The sequence below is a fragment of the Homo sapiens genome, chromosome 11 (assembly GCF_000001405.40).
Source record: "Homo sapiens chromosome 11, GRCh38.p14 Primary Assembly".
Lineage (NCBI taxonomy): Eukaryota > Metazoa > Chordata > Mammalia > Primates > Hominidae > Homo > Homo sapiens.
The window spans coordinates 64,097,995-64,116,182 of record NC_000011.10 but is presented as its reverse complement, the minus strand read 5'-3'; the positions used below and the strand labels follow the sequence as shown (position 1 = coordinate 64,116,182).

The window sequence follows — 18,188 nt, the reverse complement described above, 5'->3', positions numbered from 1 at the left end:
GCGGCGACAGCGACCCCAGGAGTGAATCGTGCATTCCCTCCCACCTGCCAGCCTGTACCAAGGGGTGACCGAAGTCCGGTCCTGCGGGGTGAGGTCAAGCTGGAGGAGTGGCCTTTGTGCCAGGTTTATGCCGCAGGTGATTGCTCCCGCCGAGGTCGGACTCTAACAACATCTGGCTAATGTTAAATCTTATCAGGAGCCAAGAGGCTGCGCATTAATGAGACCCGTGCTGCCGCGGCCCTCCTGGAATGTGATCCGGAGCCTCAGGGAGGTTAATTTAGTGAGAGCCATGCAGCAGGCTTGGTTTCTTCTCTCAAGACTTCACACAAAGCCACTTTATGGCCAACGCTAAAGGTACCAGTCAATATGGATGGGATGGATTTAGGGCGTGTTTTATGGATTCATAGCTGCTGTTTCCCTGGCACTGCACGAGGAGCACGCATTGCTGTCTGGCTCGGACCCAGGATTCGAAAGGAAAGCTTGTTGCTGGAAGGCCCAGGAGCTCAAAAGGGGGGCGTCGCCAGAACCTGCGGGAACGAAGCTGTCAGTGCCATCACTGGCGAGGAGTGGAGAGCAGGGAGCTTCATTGTCTGGTGTTAAAACAACATGTCCTGTTGTCACTCGTACATTCTACAGACAGAAGAATGAGGTGTCAACAGAATCACTTTCTCATGTATTTACAGAAATCTCTTTTCATCAGAGGTGCCTCCCTGGCCCTGGGTTCCGAGTTGTGTGGGAAATTGTCCCACACCTTGCCCCTTTCTCAAATCATAAACTTTCAGCTATTCAAAAAAAAAAAAAGTGGTCTGTTTTCTTGCACTTAAAGGAATGAGACAAATAAAAGGAGGGAGGAGTCACGTCTGTACTCTGAGGGAATTGGCTGCAAGGTGTAATTTTGGATTTCACAAATGGAAAAATAGCAGCATAGATTTTTCTTATATTATTTTACTGTTCATAGTGGTAAAAAATCAATTAAAGAGAAATTATCTTTCAGTCTCAGTGAGGAAGGTGTCTTCATGCAGCCAGCAAAAGTCTGCTGTAAAACACTGGGTTCACGGAGGCTTTTCAATGATGGGACATGATGGCCTCTCGGAACCTGAAGTCCCAGCCTGGGAGGGCAGCCCTGGTGTGCAGAGCAGAGCCGGCACCTGCTCACTGAGCCAGCAGGGACCTTATTTTCATGCCCCAGGGACTGAACATCTCTGTTACTCAACCAGGCCAAACTTTCTGTCTTCTCTGTCCTTCTCTATTCCTGAGCTGCTTTTTCTTTCCATCGAGCAAGCTACTCTTGCAGGACCCAGCTCAAATGTTACCTCCTCTGCTAGGTTTTCCTGAGGCCCCAGATAAAGCTTCCCTCTGCTCTGCCCATCCATCTGTCCACCCACCTACCATCCATCCACCTGTACATTCATCCATCCATCAATTCATGCATGGACCTGTCCATCCATCCATCCATTCATCCATCCATCCATCTATGTATCAGTCCATGCATCTACCTGTCCATCCATCCATCTATCCACCTGTCCATTCATCCATCCATCCATTCATGCATGCACCTGTCCATCCATCCATCCATCTGTCCACCATCCTTCCATCATGCATCTACCTGTCCATCCATCCATCCATCCATCCATGCATCAATCCATACATCCACCTGTCCATCCATCCATCCATTCATCCATCCATCCATCCATTCAACCATCCCTCCATCCATCCATCTATCCATCCATTCATCCATCCATCCATCCATTCAACCATCCCTCCATCCATCCATGCATCCACCTGTCCATTCACCCATCCATCCATTCATACATGCACCTGTCCATCCATCCATCCATCATGTATCTACTGTCCGTCCATCCATCCGTCATCCATGTATCAATCCATGCATCCACCTGTCCATCCATCCATCCATCCATCCATCCACCTAACCATCCATTCATCCATGCATCCATCTGTCCATTCATCCATCCATCCATCCATCCATCTAACCATCCATCCATCCAGGCATCCATGCATCCATCCACTTGTTCATTCATCCATTCAGGCATGCACCAGTCCTTGCATCCATCCATGCATCCACCTGTCCATCCATCCATCCATCCATCCATCCATCCATCCATCCATGCATCAACCCATGCATCCACCTGTCCATCCATCCATCCATCCATGCATCCACCTGTCCATTCATCCATCCAATTATCCATCCATCCAATTATCCATCCATCCATCCATCCATCCATCCGTGCATCAATCCATGCATCCACCTGTCCATCCATCCATCCATCCATCCATCCATCCATCCATCCATGTATCAATCCATACATCCAGCTGTCCATCCATCCATCCATCCATCCATGCGTCCACCTGTTCATTCATCCATCATGCATGCACCTGTCCATCCATCCATCATGCATTTACCTGTCCGTCCATCCATCCATCCATCATCCATGTATCAATCCATGCATCCACCTGTCCGTCCATCCATCCACCTAACCATCCATCCATCCATCCATGCATCCACCTGTCTGCCCATCCATCCATCCATCCATCCATCCATCCATCCATCCATCCATCCACCTAACCATCCATCCATCCATGCTATCCATGCATCCACCTGTCCATCCATCCATCCATCCATGCATCCACCTGTCTATCCATCCATCCAATTATCCATCCATCCAACCATCCATCCATCCATCCATATATGCATCAATCCATGCATCCACCTGTCCATCCATCCATCCATCCATCCATCCATCCATGCATCAACCTGTCCATTCACACATGCACCTGTCCATCCATCCATCCATCCATCCATCATGCATCCAACAGAGCTTTATTGAGCATCTACTATATTCCAGGCCCTGTTGTAGCCACTTGGGATTCCATTCTGATGGGATGGATGATAGTTCACACTATAATAAAGGCTTTGCTGAGAACTTTCCTAATATTTAAGTCATTTAACCCTCCCAACAAACATGAGGTCAGTGCCCTTAATCCCATTTAACAGATGAGAAAATTGAAGCTCAGAGATGTTAGCTTACTCAAGACTACTTGAGAACCAGGTAGGAGGAACCCAGGCCATCTAGGGAGGAGGCCAGAATCTTGGCAATCTTGAGGCTTGCAGCACTCTGTGGGTTGCAGGTCACACCATTTGGTGACTGGTGTTTTCATGTCACCAAACTGCCAGGGCAGGGACTGTGGCCAAGCATGGCTTTGCATCAGTGACCACCCGATGACAGAATGGGCCCTGCCGTGGTGAATGTCTCTGCCACTCACCCCTGCACACTCAAACGTTCCCTTCACACTTACAGGGTCTCTGCCCAGGCAGCCACCACAGTCATCAAGGTGGCTGCTAAGGCCCTGTGCAATCCTATGTGGCACCCCTGTTGGCCTGGTCCACCCCATTCCCCTCTCACTGACTGCAGCAGCCAGGCACCCCCTAGTATCCCCAGGGCCCTTGCAAGTGCTGTGCTCTCTGCCTGGACAGCTCATCCCCAGATCCACGCCTGCATCTCCTTCCAGTGAGGCCTTTCCTGGGCACCCTATCGAGAATTATAACTCCCAGATACTCCTCTCAGTTCCTTGCTTGCCTATAGTATTTACCACCAACTAACACACTACGTGTTTTATCTTTTTTGTTTTGTTTTGCCTTGTTTTGCTTTTTGAGATGGAGTCTTGCCCTGTCACCAGGTGGGAGTGCAGTGGAGCGATCTTGGGTCACTACAACCTCCGCCTCCCAGGTTCAAGAGATCCTCCTGCTTCAGCCTCCTGAGTAGCTGGGACTACAGGTGTGCACCACCATGCCCAGCTAATTTTTTGTATTTTTAGTAGAGACGGGGGTCTCACCATGTTGGCCAGGATGGTCTTGATCTCTTGACCTCGTGATCCACCTCCCTGGGCCTCTCAAAGTACTGGGATTACAGGTGAGCCACAGTGCCTGGCCCTTTTTTGTTTTTATTGTCTGTCTCCCCACTAGAAGGTACGCTCTACAAGGGCAGGGATTTGTGCATCTTATTCATAGTGTTTCCCACGTGGCAGATGCTCACTAAAGATTTCAAAGGAGAAACTGTGATGGACTCGTTCTGTAGATGAGAGAACAGAGGCACAGAGACCTGTCCATGGTCCCCTGGCAGAAGGAGGTGGGGTCTGGATTCCACCCCAGGGCTGCGTGGCTGCAGGACCTCAGTGCTTGACTCCACACTGCTGAGGGCTGTGAGTCCCTGGCCAGCCCAGACACAGTCCTGCAGCCCAGGCTGAGCATTCTCAGACCTTCATGGAGATGCCCACTCTCCTGTGAGCCTCCTGCTTCCTTTGCCCAGGGCCATCCCAGGCTGCTCTGACCCTTATCTGACCACCTCACCTTTCATTACATTGGGGACTGGGAAGGACACTGGCCCAGATCATGGGAAAGGACGGGCTTGAAGCCAGGACAGCATGCAGAGCTAGACACATCAGCCTTCAGAGGATCAGGAAAAGCCTAGGTGGTGGGGTGACCTCTCTGGCCAGACCTCACCCACCCCCCTTCACAGGCAAGGGTGCAGAGGTTGCCGCCTACACACAGGTCCACAGCCCTCATTTCACAGCCCAGCAGCCTGAGACTCAGAGACATGAGGGGCCCAGCCAAGGTCACAGCCAGCCCAGATTTCCCACTGCACGTCTGTCCCTTCTGCACTGAGCCAGGCTCGTGAAGGTTATGGAGCCGGAGGTCCTGCCTCAAGCCACTTATGAGCAGGTAGGTAGCACAGGGCAATGCTAGAGACAGGAAGACACAGGCCAGCTCACAGGTCACTTTGCCTCAGTCTCCAGGGTCAAGTCTGAGTCTAGGAGCACCTCTGCCAGGGGGCCCCCAGCGTCTGGCTGGAGGATTACCCCCAACCTGGTCTGTTGGCTGCTGAGTTCTGGCACAAGGGATACAGGTGGCCTTTGTACTCAGCTGTTCTGAGCAGTGCCCTAAGTAGGGGGCAAACTTGTTAAGGCCAAAGCCAAGGCAAGCCACCGCATTCCCTGGTATGGACATCTGTTCCCAGCGCCCGCTCAGCTCATGGCCACAGTCCTCAGCCTTCAGAGGCCTCAGCATCATAATAGAGTCTAAATTGCACCTTTCAGAGATGCTTGATGGATAACCAAGAAGCATTTGGGAGGCAGGGACCCAAGGCCTTTCCGCTCCACTGTCTGTGGGCCTCATCCATCTTGGCCAAAGGCTCCCCTGCCGCCCCCCTCCCCAAGGCCAGCCCGAGGCTGAGCCCTCTGGCTCCAGGAAAGTAGGGCGGGACCTGGGGGTGGGGAGGAAGATAGCACGCCTCACCAGAGGAATCTCTAATTGCCTGGGTGCCTGCTTGCCTTTTTATTCCCTTGTTGTGTGTTTCATAGTTTATGTGGCCATCAAATTAAACCTGGTAAATCGCCCATCTTTTATGGGATCGCTTGTCGCCCTTGCGTGGATCCCTCAGACTTCAGCGTGGTGTGAGTTACGACCTGCCAGCTCCATGACTGACAGCCGGATCCTTAGCGGGCCACGGGGGTGGGCGAAGGGAGCAGTGGGATGGCTCAGGCTGTAGGTGTCCATTACTCCTCCGCTTAGCTGGGGGCCCTGGGGCATTATTCTTGGCATTATTCTTGGCTCTATCAGTCGTTGTCCCCTGCCAACCTCCAGGACAGAGAGGCCTGGGTTCAAATCCTGCCTCTGCCACTTTCAGGTGGTATGATTTCTTTCTTTTTTTTTTTTTTCTGAGACAGTCTCGCTCTGTCACCCAGTCTGGAATGCAGTGGCCCGATCACGGCTCACTGCAGCCTCGACCTCCCCATGCTCAGGTGATCCTCCCACCTCAGCCTCCTGCAGAGCTGGGACCACATGCTGCACCACCACACCCAGCTAATTTTTGTATTTTTTGCAGAGATGGGGTTTTGCTATGTTGCCCAGGCTGGTCTTGAACTCCTAGGCTCAAGCAATCTGCCCACTTCAGCATCCCAAAGTGCTGAGATTATACGCGTGAGCCACCACGCCGGGCCTCAGGCTGTGTTATTTTGAGCAAGCTGCTTGCCCTCTCTGAGGTTTGATTTCCTCATCTATAAATGTGGTCATAATAGGGGCCCTTACATGGGAACTTACAATTCAGGATTCACTGACATTATATGTGCAGAGTACCCCCTCCTGAGTGTGATCTGGATGCCCCCGACGCATCCAGTTTAAAAGCTGCCCCAAGTCTCTGCCTCCCCAGACACACGGCCTAGCTTCTGCAGTAGCTGCCCGTCTCTGTCCTCCGCGCTCCAGTGGCCCGTTCTCTACTCCCCTGCTCCTGCTGTGCCTTCCGGACAGGCTGACCCCTTATCAGCCTCTGTGAAGCTGAGGTGTTGCCCCCTGCCCACCTCAAACTGTGTGGGTGCAACCCTGCCCCTCCCCCAAGCCATGCTGGCAGCCTTGACCCTATGTCTGGGCCGCACAGAGCTGGTGGATGGGGCCATCAACCATCCCCTCCTGTGGGGCCGCACCAGCCTCCCATGGGAGGCCCTCCAGGCTGGGGGCAGGGTGGAGGAGTCCGGGGAGGTAAGAGGGTTTTAAATGGGCCTTCGTCACCAGGTCATCCAGTGGCCAGAAATAGTTCCCTACCTCCTCCACGCCACACTCACTCCCACCCCTGAGAAGTCCTGAGGCTTCTGTCCCTCCCCTTTCCACCCCCTCTGCAGCCCTCCCCAGAAGCTGTGCTCACGGTGCATTAGACCCTTTGTGGAGCTGCTGCCCAGTGTCACGAGTGGGGAGAGGCCGGCAGCCTCCCGGGTTTCCCAGGTCTGGGGGAGCAGTAGGGAAGCTGAGTGTGGGTGTCTACACCCAACTGCAAAGCCTTTATAAGTCAGTGACACCAAGCTTCTTCCCCACCCCTCGTGGTGGCTTATGGCCCACTGTCTGCTGCTCAGCCTTTGCTGGGGACCCTGCTGCTGGCTCCTGGCCCTCATGGAACCTGGGGATGCTATTTTCTATTCACAGGCATGTCCCAGGAGCTTCTGGAAGCCAGCAAGGAAATAGCCCCCCATCCCTGTCTGGCCTCACTCCCACGTCTCCTCTTTCACCTGTCCCATCCCTGGGATGGGGGCATCTCAGGCAGGGCCAGGCGGGGAGAGGAAGTGTCCTGCATGTAAACTCTGTATGTAGGAAAGACAAGTACATGCTCACGTGCATGGATGCTGGTCACGTCTCCCCCACCCCCACTTGCCCCTCAGCCTCCTTCCTGCCCACCTGCCTGCCTCTGTCCTTAGGAATCTGGCTGCCCATGTGGCCTGGCACTGGTGTGTGGCCTGGCACTGGTGTGTGGTTGCTGCAGACCCTGGGGTCCTTTGGCTTTTCCCCCACTTCCCAGCCCCCAGGTGGGGTCCCTTGCAGGTGTCTTTCCCCTGCCAGTCCCTCCCTTCAGCAATAATTCATGTGTCTCCCCTAAACCTTGCCATGCCTTCAATTCCTCACTGAGAATGCCGTGCAGGCAGACTGCGGGCAGAAGCAGTTTCTCAGCCCCAGAGCGGGAAAGGCCAGTGGGACCCCAGTCCCACCTCCCACTAGACAGGAAGCCCTACCAAGGCACAATCATCTCCAGCTCTGTGATGGGGCTTCAGCAAACCTTTGTTTAAATTAATGAAAGACCCCACCTTCCTGGGGGCTCAACTGCAAATAAGACAGAGGGAAGAGGGCCAGGAGGTAGACAGGGCAGGCCGCTGCTTCCTGGTGCTCAGGGAGACCCAGGGAGAGCTCCCCTCCTTCTCGCCAGGAAGCCCCTTTCCTGTGAAGGCAAGTAGCCAGTGGTCTGCCTGGCTCAACCAAGCTGCTCAGCCTACTGTGGGGTGGCCCTGGGTCTCAAGTCTTTTTTTTTTTTTTTTGAGACAGAGTTTCGCTCTTGTTGCCCAGGCTGGAGTGCAATGGTACGATCTTGGCTCACCGCAACCTCTGCCTCCTGGGTTCAGGCGATTCTTCTGCCTCAGCCTCCCGCGTAGCTGTGATTACAGGCATGCACCACCACGCCCCACTAATTTTGTATTTTTAGTAGAGACGGGATTTCTCCATGTTGGTCAGGCTGGTCACTAACTCCTGACCTCAGGTGATCTGCCCGCCTCGGCCTCCCAAAGTGCTGGGATTACAGGGGTCTCAAGTCTATCTGACCATAAACGATCTACTTCCCTGGGCTTTTGTGAAGATAAAATAAGGTTACTTTCAATGTTTAGCAGAGTCGTATTCAGAATGAGGGAACTATTACCATTACTAGCAATGAGCCATTCTTCCCTGAGCCCCAGACATGAACTGCAGGAAGGGAGGGGAGCCTTGAGTCGTGTGAGTGGGGCTTTTCCAAGCCCTAGTTCAGGCAGATGCCCCAGGGACTGCAGGCCCACCAGAGGCATCTCCTTAGGGCAGGGACTAGATGCCATGACCCTCAAGGACCTTCTAACCCCAGCTCCCGCCAGGGCAGGGTGCCAGCCAGCCACACCCATCACCCTGAACAGCTTTGCTCCTGGATCCCATCCACTGGTATCATTTAGAACTTGTGATGCATGGGGGCTGGGGCGGGAATTCTTTTAAAACCTAAAGTTAATTATTTTTCTAATTTCATGCTGCATGCATTATGCATCAGCTGTTATCACTGGCGGTAATTGCAGACAGGTATGCAAATCCACTATAAATGCACCTAACCACATAGGCCGGCTGGGTGGCGCTGGTGCCAGGCGGCGGGATGTCCTGAACTTCAGAGAATGTAAATCGCTTTTAAAAAAACAGGACTTTAGAATTGTGTCTTAGGAAGTTAATTATATTGATAACAGTGTTCGATATTAAACCATTCAAGGCCAGGAGGGGGTGGGGGGATGAAAGGAGACACGTGTAATTTTGTTCCTTTCTCTCTCGGCATTATTTAATAAGATGCTCCTACACCTGATATTTCTGTCTGTCTGTGTCCATTTTTAGTAAAGCTGCCTAAACTGAGACTTAATTCCTTTATGGAAGGGAAAAAGAAAGCCCAGTGGGCTGGGCAAGTTGGCTCATTGTAATCCCAGCACTTTGGGAGGCTGAGGCAGGTGGATCACCTGAGGTCAGGAGTTCAAAACCAGCCTGGTCAACATGGCGAAACTCTGTCTCTACTAAAAATACAAAAATTAGCTGGGCATGGTGGTGCATGCCTGTAATCCCAGCTACTTGGGAGGCTGAGGCAGGAGATTCACTTGAACCTGGGAGGCGGAGGTTGCAGTGAGCCGAGAGATCGTGCCACTGCACTCCAGCCCGAGTGACAGAGTAAGACCCTATCTCAAAAAAAAATAAAATAAAATAAATAAAAGAAAGCCCAGTGGAATTTCAGAGGGAAGGAGAGGGGCTAAAGGTCTTTATTTTGGGGGATGAGGAAAAGGAAGAGAGGCAGCACCAGCAGGGCTGGGGACAGTCCTCCAGAACAGGACTGAGGCTGCGGGCTCTGCACTGCTTCTCTCCTCAGCCGCCTTTAGGATCCTGGGCCACAGCAGAGAGCCTGGAGAGGAGCAGTGTGACCAGTAAAGGCTGGTGATGGGCAACACTCACTGATCCTAGATCAGAGGCTTGGCACTGGGCTCTGAGGGCAGGGCCTCTCAGGGGCTGAGAACAACCCTGACAAGGCAGGAGGCAGGCCCTTCTCCCAGTGGGACCCTCCCTATTTATTTATCATGAGTTTATGGATTGTCTCCTCCCCTTAGAATGTAAACTCCTATAGTTAGGACATGGTCTGCCTTGTGCCTGGCATGGAGCCTGGCACAGAAAGTGCTCAGTAAACATCTGATGAATGAATGAACAGGGCCACCAAAAGGGAGGCCCCTGAACCTAGACCCAGGGCTGGGTGGTAGAGAAGAGGGAGGCTGGCCTTCCTACAGCCCACCCCAGGACGTCATGGTGACCCAGGGTGCCCTCACCACAGCAGCCCAAAGAGGCAAAGGGAAAGGTCTGGATTGTGCAGCAGATGGCAGAGGGGTGGCCACAAACCCAGGCCTCAGACTCGATGTCTGGAGCTCTCCCCTTCCCAGGTCTCCTACCGCCTATCTCAGCTGCCCAGCGGGACCTCTCTGACCCCAAAGGGAGACTCTTGGCCATCCCTCCTCACCCCCACTGATATGGATGCTGGCCTGGCACTGCCCAACTGCCTGTCTGTCTCCAACTATCAGAGGTGATCCTCACTTTCCTACAGAGGGCCTTTTCCCCTCCCGCCCACCCCACAGATACACTCACGGATGGAACCCACCACTCAGGACCCTGGAATCATGAGATAAAGGACCTCAGCGATTGTCTGCTTTTTGCAGATGAGGAAAATCTGAGGCCCTGCATGGAAGAGACAGGCTCAGGGTGGAGACAGAGCCCTCCCGCAGCTGTGGGCAGCCTCCCCGCCCACCTCCTGGGGCCTTGGCGCCCAACTGTAACCCTTTCCCAGGGGTTTGGCACAGGGAGGATGCTGGGGAACAGTGTCTCAACTCCAGCAGGGCCTCATGGGAGCCGCTCTTCTCCACCAGCATGTCTGCAGCCCCTCAAGCCTGTGGGGTCACTCACGCCTGTGGGGTCACTCATGCCTGTGGGGTCACGCCTCTTAGCATTAGGAGTAGCTGGCAGGGCTGGGTGCCTGAGTGTTGGGCACGTCATAGAATGCTCTCTCCAGCTGGCCACAGCCTGTGTGGAGGGGACAGGCTGCATCCCCAGTGCAGAAAGGGGAGGCATACAGGGAGGGGCAGACCTGTCCAAGGTCACATGCTCACAACCAGAGGGCCAGGCCCCAACCCAGGTCTGTCTGCCCAGAGCGTTTGTTTCTTGCCTCCCTTTGCACAGAGCCACTGAGCAGACCTTTCATGGCAGCAGGCCTGGGGGACAGCAGCTGCTCCCCTCTAGCTTGGCTTCAGCCTGGGAATGACCCCCGAGCCCTCCTAGGGACTAGAGGGGCAGTAGGGACCAGGGCTGGGCACTGGGAGAGAAGCAGCCAGCCCAGCTCCGGCTCAGGCACGCTCGCGGCCCCGCTGTCGGGCTGGCGCACTTTTATAATAAATAACAGCAAATAGCCCATCCGCAGGGCATCTTTCACACCGGTGGCTAATAACATGGCTATTAATGCCCCCGCAGATGGCATGCATGCTGCGCCGTGCTGACGAATGTCCCAGGCCCTGGTGCAATCATAAATCAACCCCTCTCCTGAGGAAGAGCGTGGGAAGTGTCATTTTCCATCTTGGTAATGAATTGGGGCTTCCCTGTCCTGCCCAGGGCACAGAGGCTTGAGGTTGCTGGGATTTGTGTTTTTGGCGGTGCAGCCTCTCCCTCTGGCCTCCTGGGATCCCTGGAGGAGTCAGCCCCTCCTCAGCGGCAGGGAGGACTCACCGCCTGTTGTGTGACCCTTGGGGCACTCTCTGCCCTTCTCTGGGCCTCAGCTTGCTCCAGTAACCAACAAAGAGGCTGAACTGGAAGCCAGTGCAGATGGTGCCCAAGGGCCAACAGGAGCAGGACCTTGGGCAGTAGCTTTGGATCAACCCACCCTGGGTCCCCTGGCCAGAACAGGGGCGGGCCCTGATATAGACTTGTGGACTCCCTCTCGTTCAAGGGCAGCAGGCGCCAGGGCAAGTAGCCTAGGTTACCAGAGCTCCTGCCCACCACCCCGCCAAGGCCTCACTGCTACCACCTTTAGGGAGGGGGCTCAAAATGAGATTCCTCCACCCTGCTGCAGGGCCATTTACTCCAGGAGAGGCCACTCCATTACATCCTGGGTCCAGCTGCTGGGTAGAGCCCAGCAGCACGGGGACCACCAGGTGGCAAATGATGCTTATGCCGGCAAGCAGAAGCTGCCAGCTGCATGAACTGCGTGAGTGGGTGTGTGGGATGGAGCTGCAGACCCTTGGAGACCTGTGGAGCTCTGGCTGGGAAAAGGGGCCTTTGGAGGGTGCAACCCAGCTGTCTGGGTGCGAGGAACCCTGGGCCCACCCTGGAGCCCTTCTGAATTCGCGTCCCTCTTCCCTTGTCCTTGGGCCTTACCTCCTTCGTCGCTGCCGCCCAAGACCCTCTGGGTTTGACTGGGGTCACTGGTCCGGAGGCCCCTGCCAAAGTCACGAAGCCGCGACTCAGGACACCGTGAGCTCAGATGGCGCTCACATTCCCTGCCCCGTGGTCCTACCAGGCCTTGCACCACTAGGGACGCAGACCTCAGCCCTGGGGTGACTGGGCAGCACTGGGGCTCCCCAGGGCACAGAGAGGGGATCCGGTGCCTCGGTATCCTGGTCTCCTGGCGTTCAGATGAGGCTGTGGGCCACAATCAGCAGCCTCCTTGGCACCCTAGGCTGCAGGCGCAGCTGGCTTATCCCTGCAGAGTGAGGGTCCTGTGTGCAAGGGGTACAGGGACACCCCTCTGGACCCCAGGACTCCCGAGGGTGGCCTGAGGGGGTTCCGACTCCCTGTTCGTCGGGCATGCCCTGTGGCCTGGCACCCAGCCCTGAGCAGGGTGGCCTCTGCTGCTTGCTACCTCCACAGCCCTTTTCAACTCTTGCCCTTTTGTCTGCAGCCCGCCACCTCTTCTGAAGGGCCTCTGCGTGGCTTTTACCCCCTTTTTGTTTACCAAGGCTTTTTTTTTTTTTAATTCCTTTAAGTCACTTGGCAGAATGGGCTGGGTGCAGAGAGTGTTCTTGCATGACGGAGCTGAGAGGGAGCCACTCTCCAAAGGCTCTGTATTCCTGCCACTCAGGCTGTGTCTCCGGGGGAAAGGAGGGGGTCCATTACCCCGCTGAGGAGTTCAGATGTTCATGGTGGGGCTGGAGCTGCTGACACATGCAGCTGAGCTGTCAGGCCCCCACATGCCCTTCTTTGAGAAGATGCTTGGGGGGCAAGGGCCTCAGTCCTGCTTGGCTGCTCCTGTTTGTAGAGGTTTCCTTGCTGGGGAGGTAGGGAGGATGAGTTATTCCCGCTTCACTCTCTGGTCTTGTCTGTCCAAAAAGGAATCCATCTTCTCGCCCACTGCCTGCTTCCTCACCTGCCAAAAACAATACCAGTGATTAAGCCCAGAGACATGAGGGACCGTACTGGGACAACATCCACCAGGGCCACTGGGCTGCAGCCCCCTTTGCTTTGGATCCTGTTTTTTTGTTTTTTTTTTTGAGATGGAGTCTCGCTCTGTCGCCAGGCTAGAGTGCAGTGGCACAATCTCGGCTCACTGCGACCTCTGCCTCCCAGGTTCAACCGATTCCCCTGCCTCAGCCTCCCAAGGAGCTAGGACTACAGGCGTGAGCCACCACACCCGGCTAATTTTTTTTTTTAATTTTAGTAGAGATGGGGTTTCACCATATTGGCCAGATGGTCTCCATCTCCTGACTTCATGATCCGCCCACCTCGGCCTCCCAAAGTGATGGGATTACAGGCATGAGCCACTGTACCCAGCCTGGATCCTGTTTTTTTTCTTAATGCCACTTGCCTATGAGCCGGGGAAGGGGCTGGGGTTATTCTCCCTATCTCCTGCCTCTTTCCAAATCCTGACAATTGGCCATGCATGGTGCCCAGCCTTGCAGCTACCTGGTTTTCCCTCCCTGGGGGTGGAAGGACTGGGAAGAGAAAAATGAAGTTTTTCGAGCTCCTGGCCGTGCAGGGCCAACCGCCCAGCCCAGAGCTGGCTCCAATTCCCCCGGCACCTGCTCTTCTTGCTAAATGTCATTCAAAGGCTCCAACTGGGCCGCCATGGCCTGGGCTTCCAGAACAAGCACTGCCTTTCCCCACCATGGGAAGCAGGACCATCAGGGAACTGGGGAAGTTGGGTCTCCGTGTTTCTGGCCTCTGTCTGGTGCCCACCCCACTTCCTAGGTGGGGGGTCAGTCCTCAACACCCGCAGCCGCCCTCCTCTTCCACACAGACGGAGGGCAGGGCAGGCTGTTCTGGAATCCAAAACAAAACCCCGAGCCCTCCCCAGCACCTCTCATTAGTGCGGCATGTGGAAGGGCCGCGGCGCCCTGGTGTCTGTATTCCCCCTGCAGGAACCCCTCTTTGGAAAAGGGCTTTTATTACACATCTGAGAGTGCTCACTCTGGTTTGAAATCAGATCCAGATGGGCTCAGCTGCATCTGGGCACTTTTCTTTGTAGGGCCTAAGGTGGCTGATTTGAGAAATGCTTGTTGTCAGAGGCCGTTACAAATAAAAACAGGGATATTAGGGTTCATGTTTTAATAAGCCCAGCACCCAGATGGGGGGTGGCTGCCCACGGGGCTCACAGCCTGGCAGGGAAGGCATTTGGGAAGGGTGTGTGCCAGCCAGGTGGTGTGCAGGCTGAGTCTGATGGGGTGGACAGGGTGGCAGGGGGAGTTTTCTTGGGACAAGCTGCCCTAGGAAGAAGGAGGTTTCAGAGCCAGCAAGCCCCACGGGACATCGATTCTGAATGGCCAGTGCCTGGTGAATACTACAGGTGGGGCACAGGCCCTGGAAGGGGTACGGTGGGGCTTACGCAGGAGGGAAGATGAGGACAGAGTCCCTGCACGCGGCGGGAGGGCGGCCGGCTCTAGCACGAGCCCTTATTGCTATTACCACCCGCGTGATTTCATCCAATTATAAATTGTAATTTCTCCATGAAAGCGAGAGATGGAAAAAGTCCAGTGAGGTCATCCGCCTCCCTGGCCGGGGCGCAGAAATTGTTTTATACCGATGGGGGTGGGGCAGGGGCAGCGGGCCTTGGCATTTTGAGAGGATGATTGCCGTGTCCTGGGAGCCCAGAGGCTCCAGTCAGCTGTGGCCGCTGCCTCCCGATAAAGAGAGAAACCACTGAGCTCTGCTTTTGAAATTAAGAACCCAAAAAGGAGGCAGGTTCATCCCACTGGTGTGTTCACCTCAGACCCTTCCCATAGCTTCTCGGCTTTATCCTGAGAGCGTCCCATAGCTCTCAGGATAGAGGCAGTGCTCCTACAGTAGTCTCCAAGGGCCCTGCCCAGCCCACCAGCCGTGTCTCCCACTACTGCCCACTAATGCCCTGAGCTGGCTCCAGCCTGGCCCTTCACTGTACTGTTCCCCTTCTGTAAGAATCCATGCAGACGTCATCCCTCCCTCCCTGCAATGGGCCACCCTCTGCTTGGCTTGTGTGGTCCTGTGAACCATGACAGCAACAACGGAGCATGAAAAGAATTGTCTCCCTGGCTTCAAGGGAGGACCTGAGGCTGGATCCCCCAGCACCTGGCTCAGTGCCTTGCATGCAGTTGGTGCTTAATAAATGCACCCACCAAACTCTCCATCTGCTCCCTCATTTAGAAAACCAAGGCACTAAGTGAGGCTCTTGGTGCCCGTCCAGCTTTGTATGTCCTCAGTCCACCTTCCCTGCTGCAGCCCCCACCCCCACCTTCCCTGGGGCCTGCAGAGCCTCCTGGAACCCCAGTGCTGGGATACTGGGCTCCTCAGCGTCTGTGCCCTGGATAAGTGGGGCCTCTCAGGCTTCTGGGGTGTGTATTGGTTTTCCAAGTGAGTCTGGCTGGCAGTGGTTGGGAGGTGTGAGCTCTCCAGCAGCACTGTGGCTCTTCCCTTGTGTGGGCGCATAATGATGATCATTAGTAGCCACCTGCATTCACTGAACCAAAGGAGGCCCAAGAATAAATATGTAAATGCGTGCGCCTGGCAGACACCTCCCGCCAGAGCCACAGCACCCCCAGTGGCCACCCTTCTGGCTCGAGTGAGTGGAGACCATGCCGTGTGAAGTTAGTGGTTACACTCCTCGCCTTGGCCTCCCCCGTTCCCACAGGCTCCAGGTCTGGTCTCTGTGCTCAAAACCAATAAACCATTTTTTGAGTCAACATCATAAAAGCTTCCATTTTGAGTAAAAGTACTTTGAGATGCTTACACAATTTTCTACTTTTGTTGTCGTCAATCACATCACAACTGTATTAAAAGAAATTTGAAAGGAGGGAAAGAAAGCCAAGTGCCCAATCTCACATCTCTGCACCACCCTCTGCGTTTTGGCCGAATCTGCCCATACATATATGCCAGGGGACAATGCACCTTGTCCTTTCCCAGTAATTTCTGCCTTGCCATCTTCCCTGAGCTTGGGAAGACAGCATGGCTAGCAGGTCAGGGAGGACCACTTTCATTGTGTGGACTGAGAAGAGGGAGCAGGACTTGTGCAGGGTTATACAACCTGTAGCAGTGTCAGGGCCTCAAACTCCAGGCCAGTTTCCTTCTTGCTGCACTACTCCAAGACAGCGCAAGAGAAACGGACCATCCACCAAACACTGCACTGAGGGGTCCTGGGCTTCTCCTGAGGCTCTCTTGTGCACCCCTCCATCCATCCATCCCTCCATCCTTCCATCTCTCCCTCCATTTCTCGATCCCTCCATCTCACCATTTCTCTATTCATTCATCCATCCATCCATCCATCTATCCATTCACCTCTCCATCCGTCCATCCTTCCTTCTCATTTCTCCATTCACCTATCCATCTCTCCATCTGTCAACCCATCCATTCATCTCTCCATCCATCCTTCCATCTATCTCTCCATCCTTCCAACTCTTCATCCATCCATCCCTCCATCAATCTATCCACTCATCTCTCCATCCATCCTCCTATCTCTCCATCCATCCATCCTTCCATCTCTGTATTCATCCTTCCATCCGTCTCTCCATCAGTCCATCTATTCACCTCTATCCATCCATCCATCTCTCCATCTTTTCATCCATCCATCCATTTCTCCATCTATCCGTCTGTCCATTCATCCATCCGTCTCTCCATTCATCCATTTCTCTCCACCTATCCATTTCTCCATCTTTCCATCTACCCATCTCTCCATCCAGCAAACATATTCTGAGTCTAATCATGCTCCAGGCATTGTACAAGACATTGGGGATCCAAAGAGATGCCCTCATCCTCCAGGAGCTCACAGTCCAGTGGGGAGGGCATTGGTTTTCAGAGGGCTACAATGTGAGACGCACACAGGGCAGTGTGGGAGCCAAGAGCCCCGCCTTGCCCAGCCTTCGGGGAGTGGGGTGGATCATGGAGGCTTCTTGGAGAAGATGACGCTGTGCTGTGGTTCTGGGGTACTCTCATGTTATGACAGTCACATGTGAGCTCAGTGGCAATCCAGAGGGAGGCAGGTCTGGCTGTGTTTCCCCTTGACCACCTGCCTATCTTCTAGAGCCACTGCCCACCCTTGGCACTCAGGGCTTCCTCCCGAAGTAGAAACGATCCTCAGGCCCTCAGCTTTACAGTTCATAGCTGCCTTAAAGATCGGAGCTCTCTGATATTAATTCCTATATTAGCAATTAGCCCTCCTGTTTCATTTCAACCTTTGGCTCTTTGGGATGGATTTTTATGTATGTGTCATTAATCAGATGGCTGGTATGTGCTGCTAGAAACCCAGGTGGGCTTTATGGCTGGTGACTTAGCGAAGTGGTGTTTTAAATGAACAACATGCCTGCCCCCTCCCTGGGAAGAGCTGCCCTGTGGCAAAGAGGGCAGAGTTTAGATCATTGTAAGCAGGTCAGAGCTGGTGCGAGCTAGGAGACCCAGGATTTTCTTTCATTTTGGACTTCCAGGCTGAGGTCAGCATCTGTATCTGACCTTTATAGATGAAAAGGCTCTTTGTGACTCAAACTGGAGTTTGTTCCATGGCTCTGACTTCCCCCTACCAGGATGGCCATCCACAGAGCCTGTTCCTTTCTTTCCCATTGCAGAGAGCAGTCTGGGGGCTGCTTATTCCCTCTCTCCCGAGGGCACTGGAGACAGAAGGCTGGGGGCAGGGAGAGCATTGCCGTGTGGGGGCTAGGACCGCTCCAGTAATGGGCTCAGCATGTTGGGAGTGGGACGGGAAGAACATTTCAGGCTGAGGGAACAGCCTATGTGAAGACTGGAGGTGGGAGGGCTTGGTATAGTGAGAGGTCAGTGTCCCAGAGCTCTGAGTGAGTGGAGGGCCGTGATCCGAGCTGAAGCAGGGCCCGGAGCCTGGCCTTAGGGGCGCTCTGAATGCTGCACTGAGGGGCCTGGTCTTTGTACAAGGGCAGGGGGGAGGCTGTGAGGGTGCCGAGGCATGGAGGAGCGTGACCAGACTTGCAGTTTAGAAAGAGTGTTCTCGCTGCTGCATGGAGACCTGGAAGGTGCCCAGGTGCACAGGAGAGGACCAGTGAAAAGCTGGGACCATGTCCTCAGGAACAGGGACAGGGACATGGGGTAGGGACCTCATACAGTGAGGGGTTGAAGGGAAGGGGCCAACTTGGGA

General features: G+C 54.4%; 2 protein-coding genes across 11 annotated transcripts in view, besides 1 other annotated feature; one reads left to right on the top strand and one right to left on the bottom strand.

The window, feature by feature from the left end:
- Positions 1-18,188, top strand: part of MACROD1 (mono-ADP ribosylhydrolase 1) — a 167,556-nt gene that overhangs the window by 49,931 nt on the left and 99,437 nt on the right. Inside the window, exon 4 of one of the 4 annotated variants that reach the window (XM_006718521.4) lies at positions 197-993. The exons of the other annotated variants lie outside the window; for them this stretch is intronic. Within the exon in view, the coding sequence (XP_006718584.1) occupies positions 197-276 (80 nt within the window). The 3' untranslated portion in view covers positions 277-993. Of the gene's footprint in view, positions 1-196; positions 994-18,188 lie in introns of those variants that run through there. 4 annotated transcript variants of the gene reach the window in all.
- FLRT1 (fibronectin leucine rich transmembrane protein 1) overlaps positions 1-18,188 on the bottom strand; it is an 83,241-nt gene that overhangs the window by 2,989 nt on the left and 62,064 nt on the right. For 4 of the 7 annotated variants that reach the window (NM_013280.5, NM_001423967.1, NM_001384466.1 and 1 more), the window contains exon 2: positions 12,002-12,989. The gene's annotated coding sequence lies outside the window, so the exon portion shown is untranslated. Of the gene's footprint in view, positions 1-58; positions 16,321-18,188 lie in introns of those variants that run through there. The other 3 variants (XM_047426696.1, XM_047426698.1, XM_047426697.1) reach the window with 3 other exon arrangements.
- Positions 5,033-5,813: an enhancer, noted in NCBI's record as "H3K4me1 hESC enhancer chr11:63877842-63878622 (GRCh37/hg19 assembly coordinates)". NCBI's record gives its function as "activates a minimal SCP1, AML or CMV promoter by ChIP-STARR-seq in naive H9 embryonic stem cells {active_cell/tissue: H9 hESC(naive)}" and the evidence as "EXISTENCE:reporter gene assay evidence [ECO:0000049][PMID:30033119]".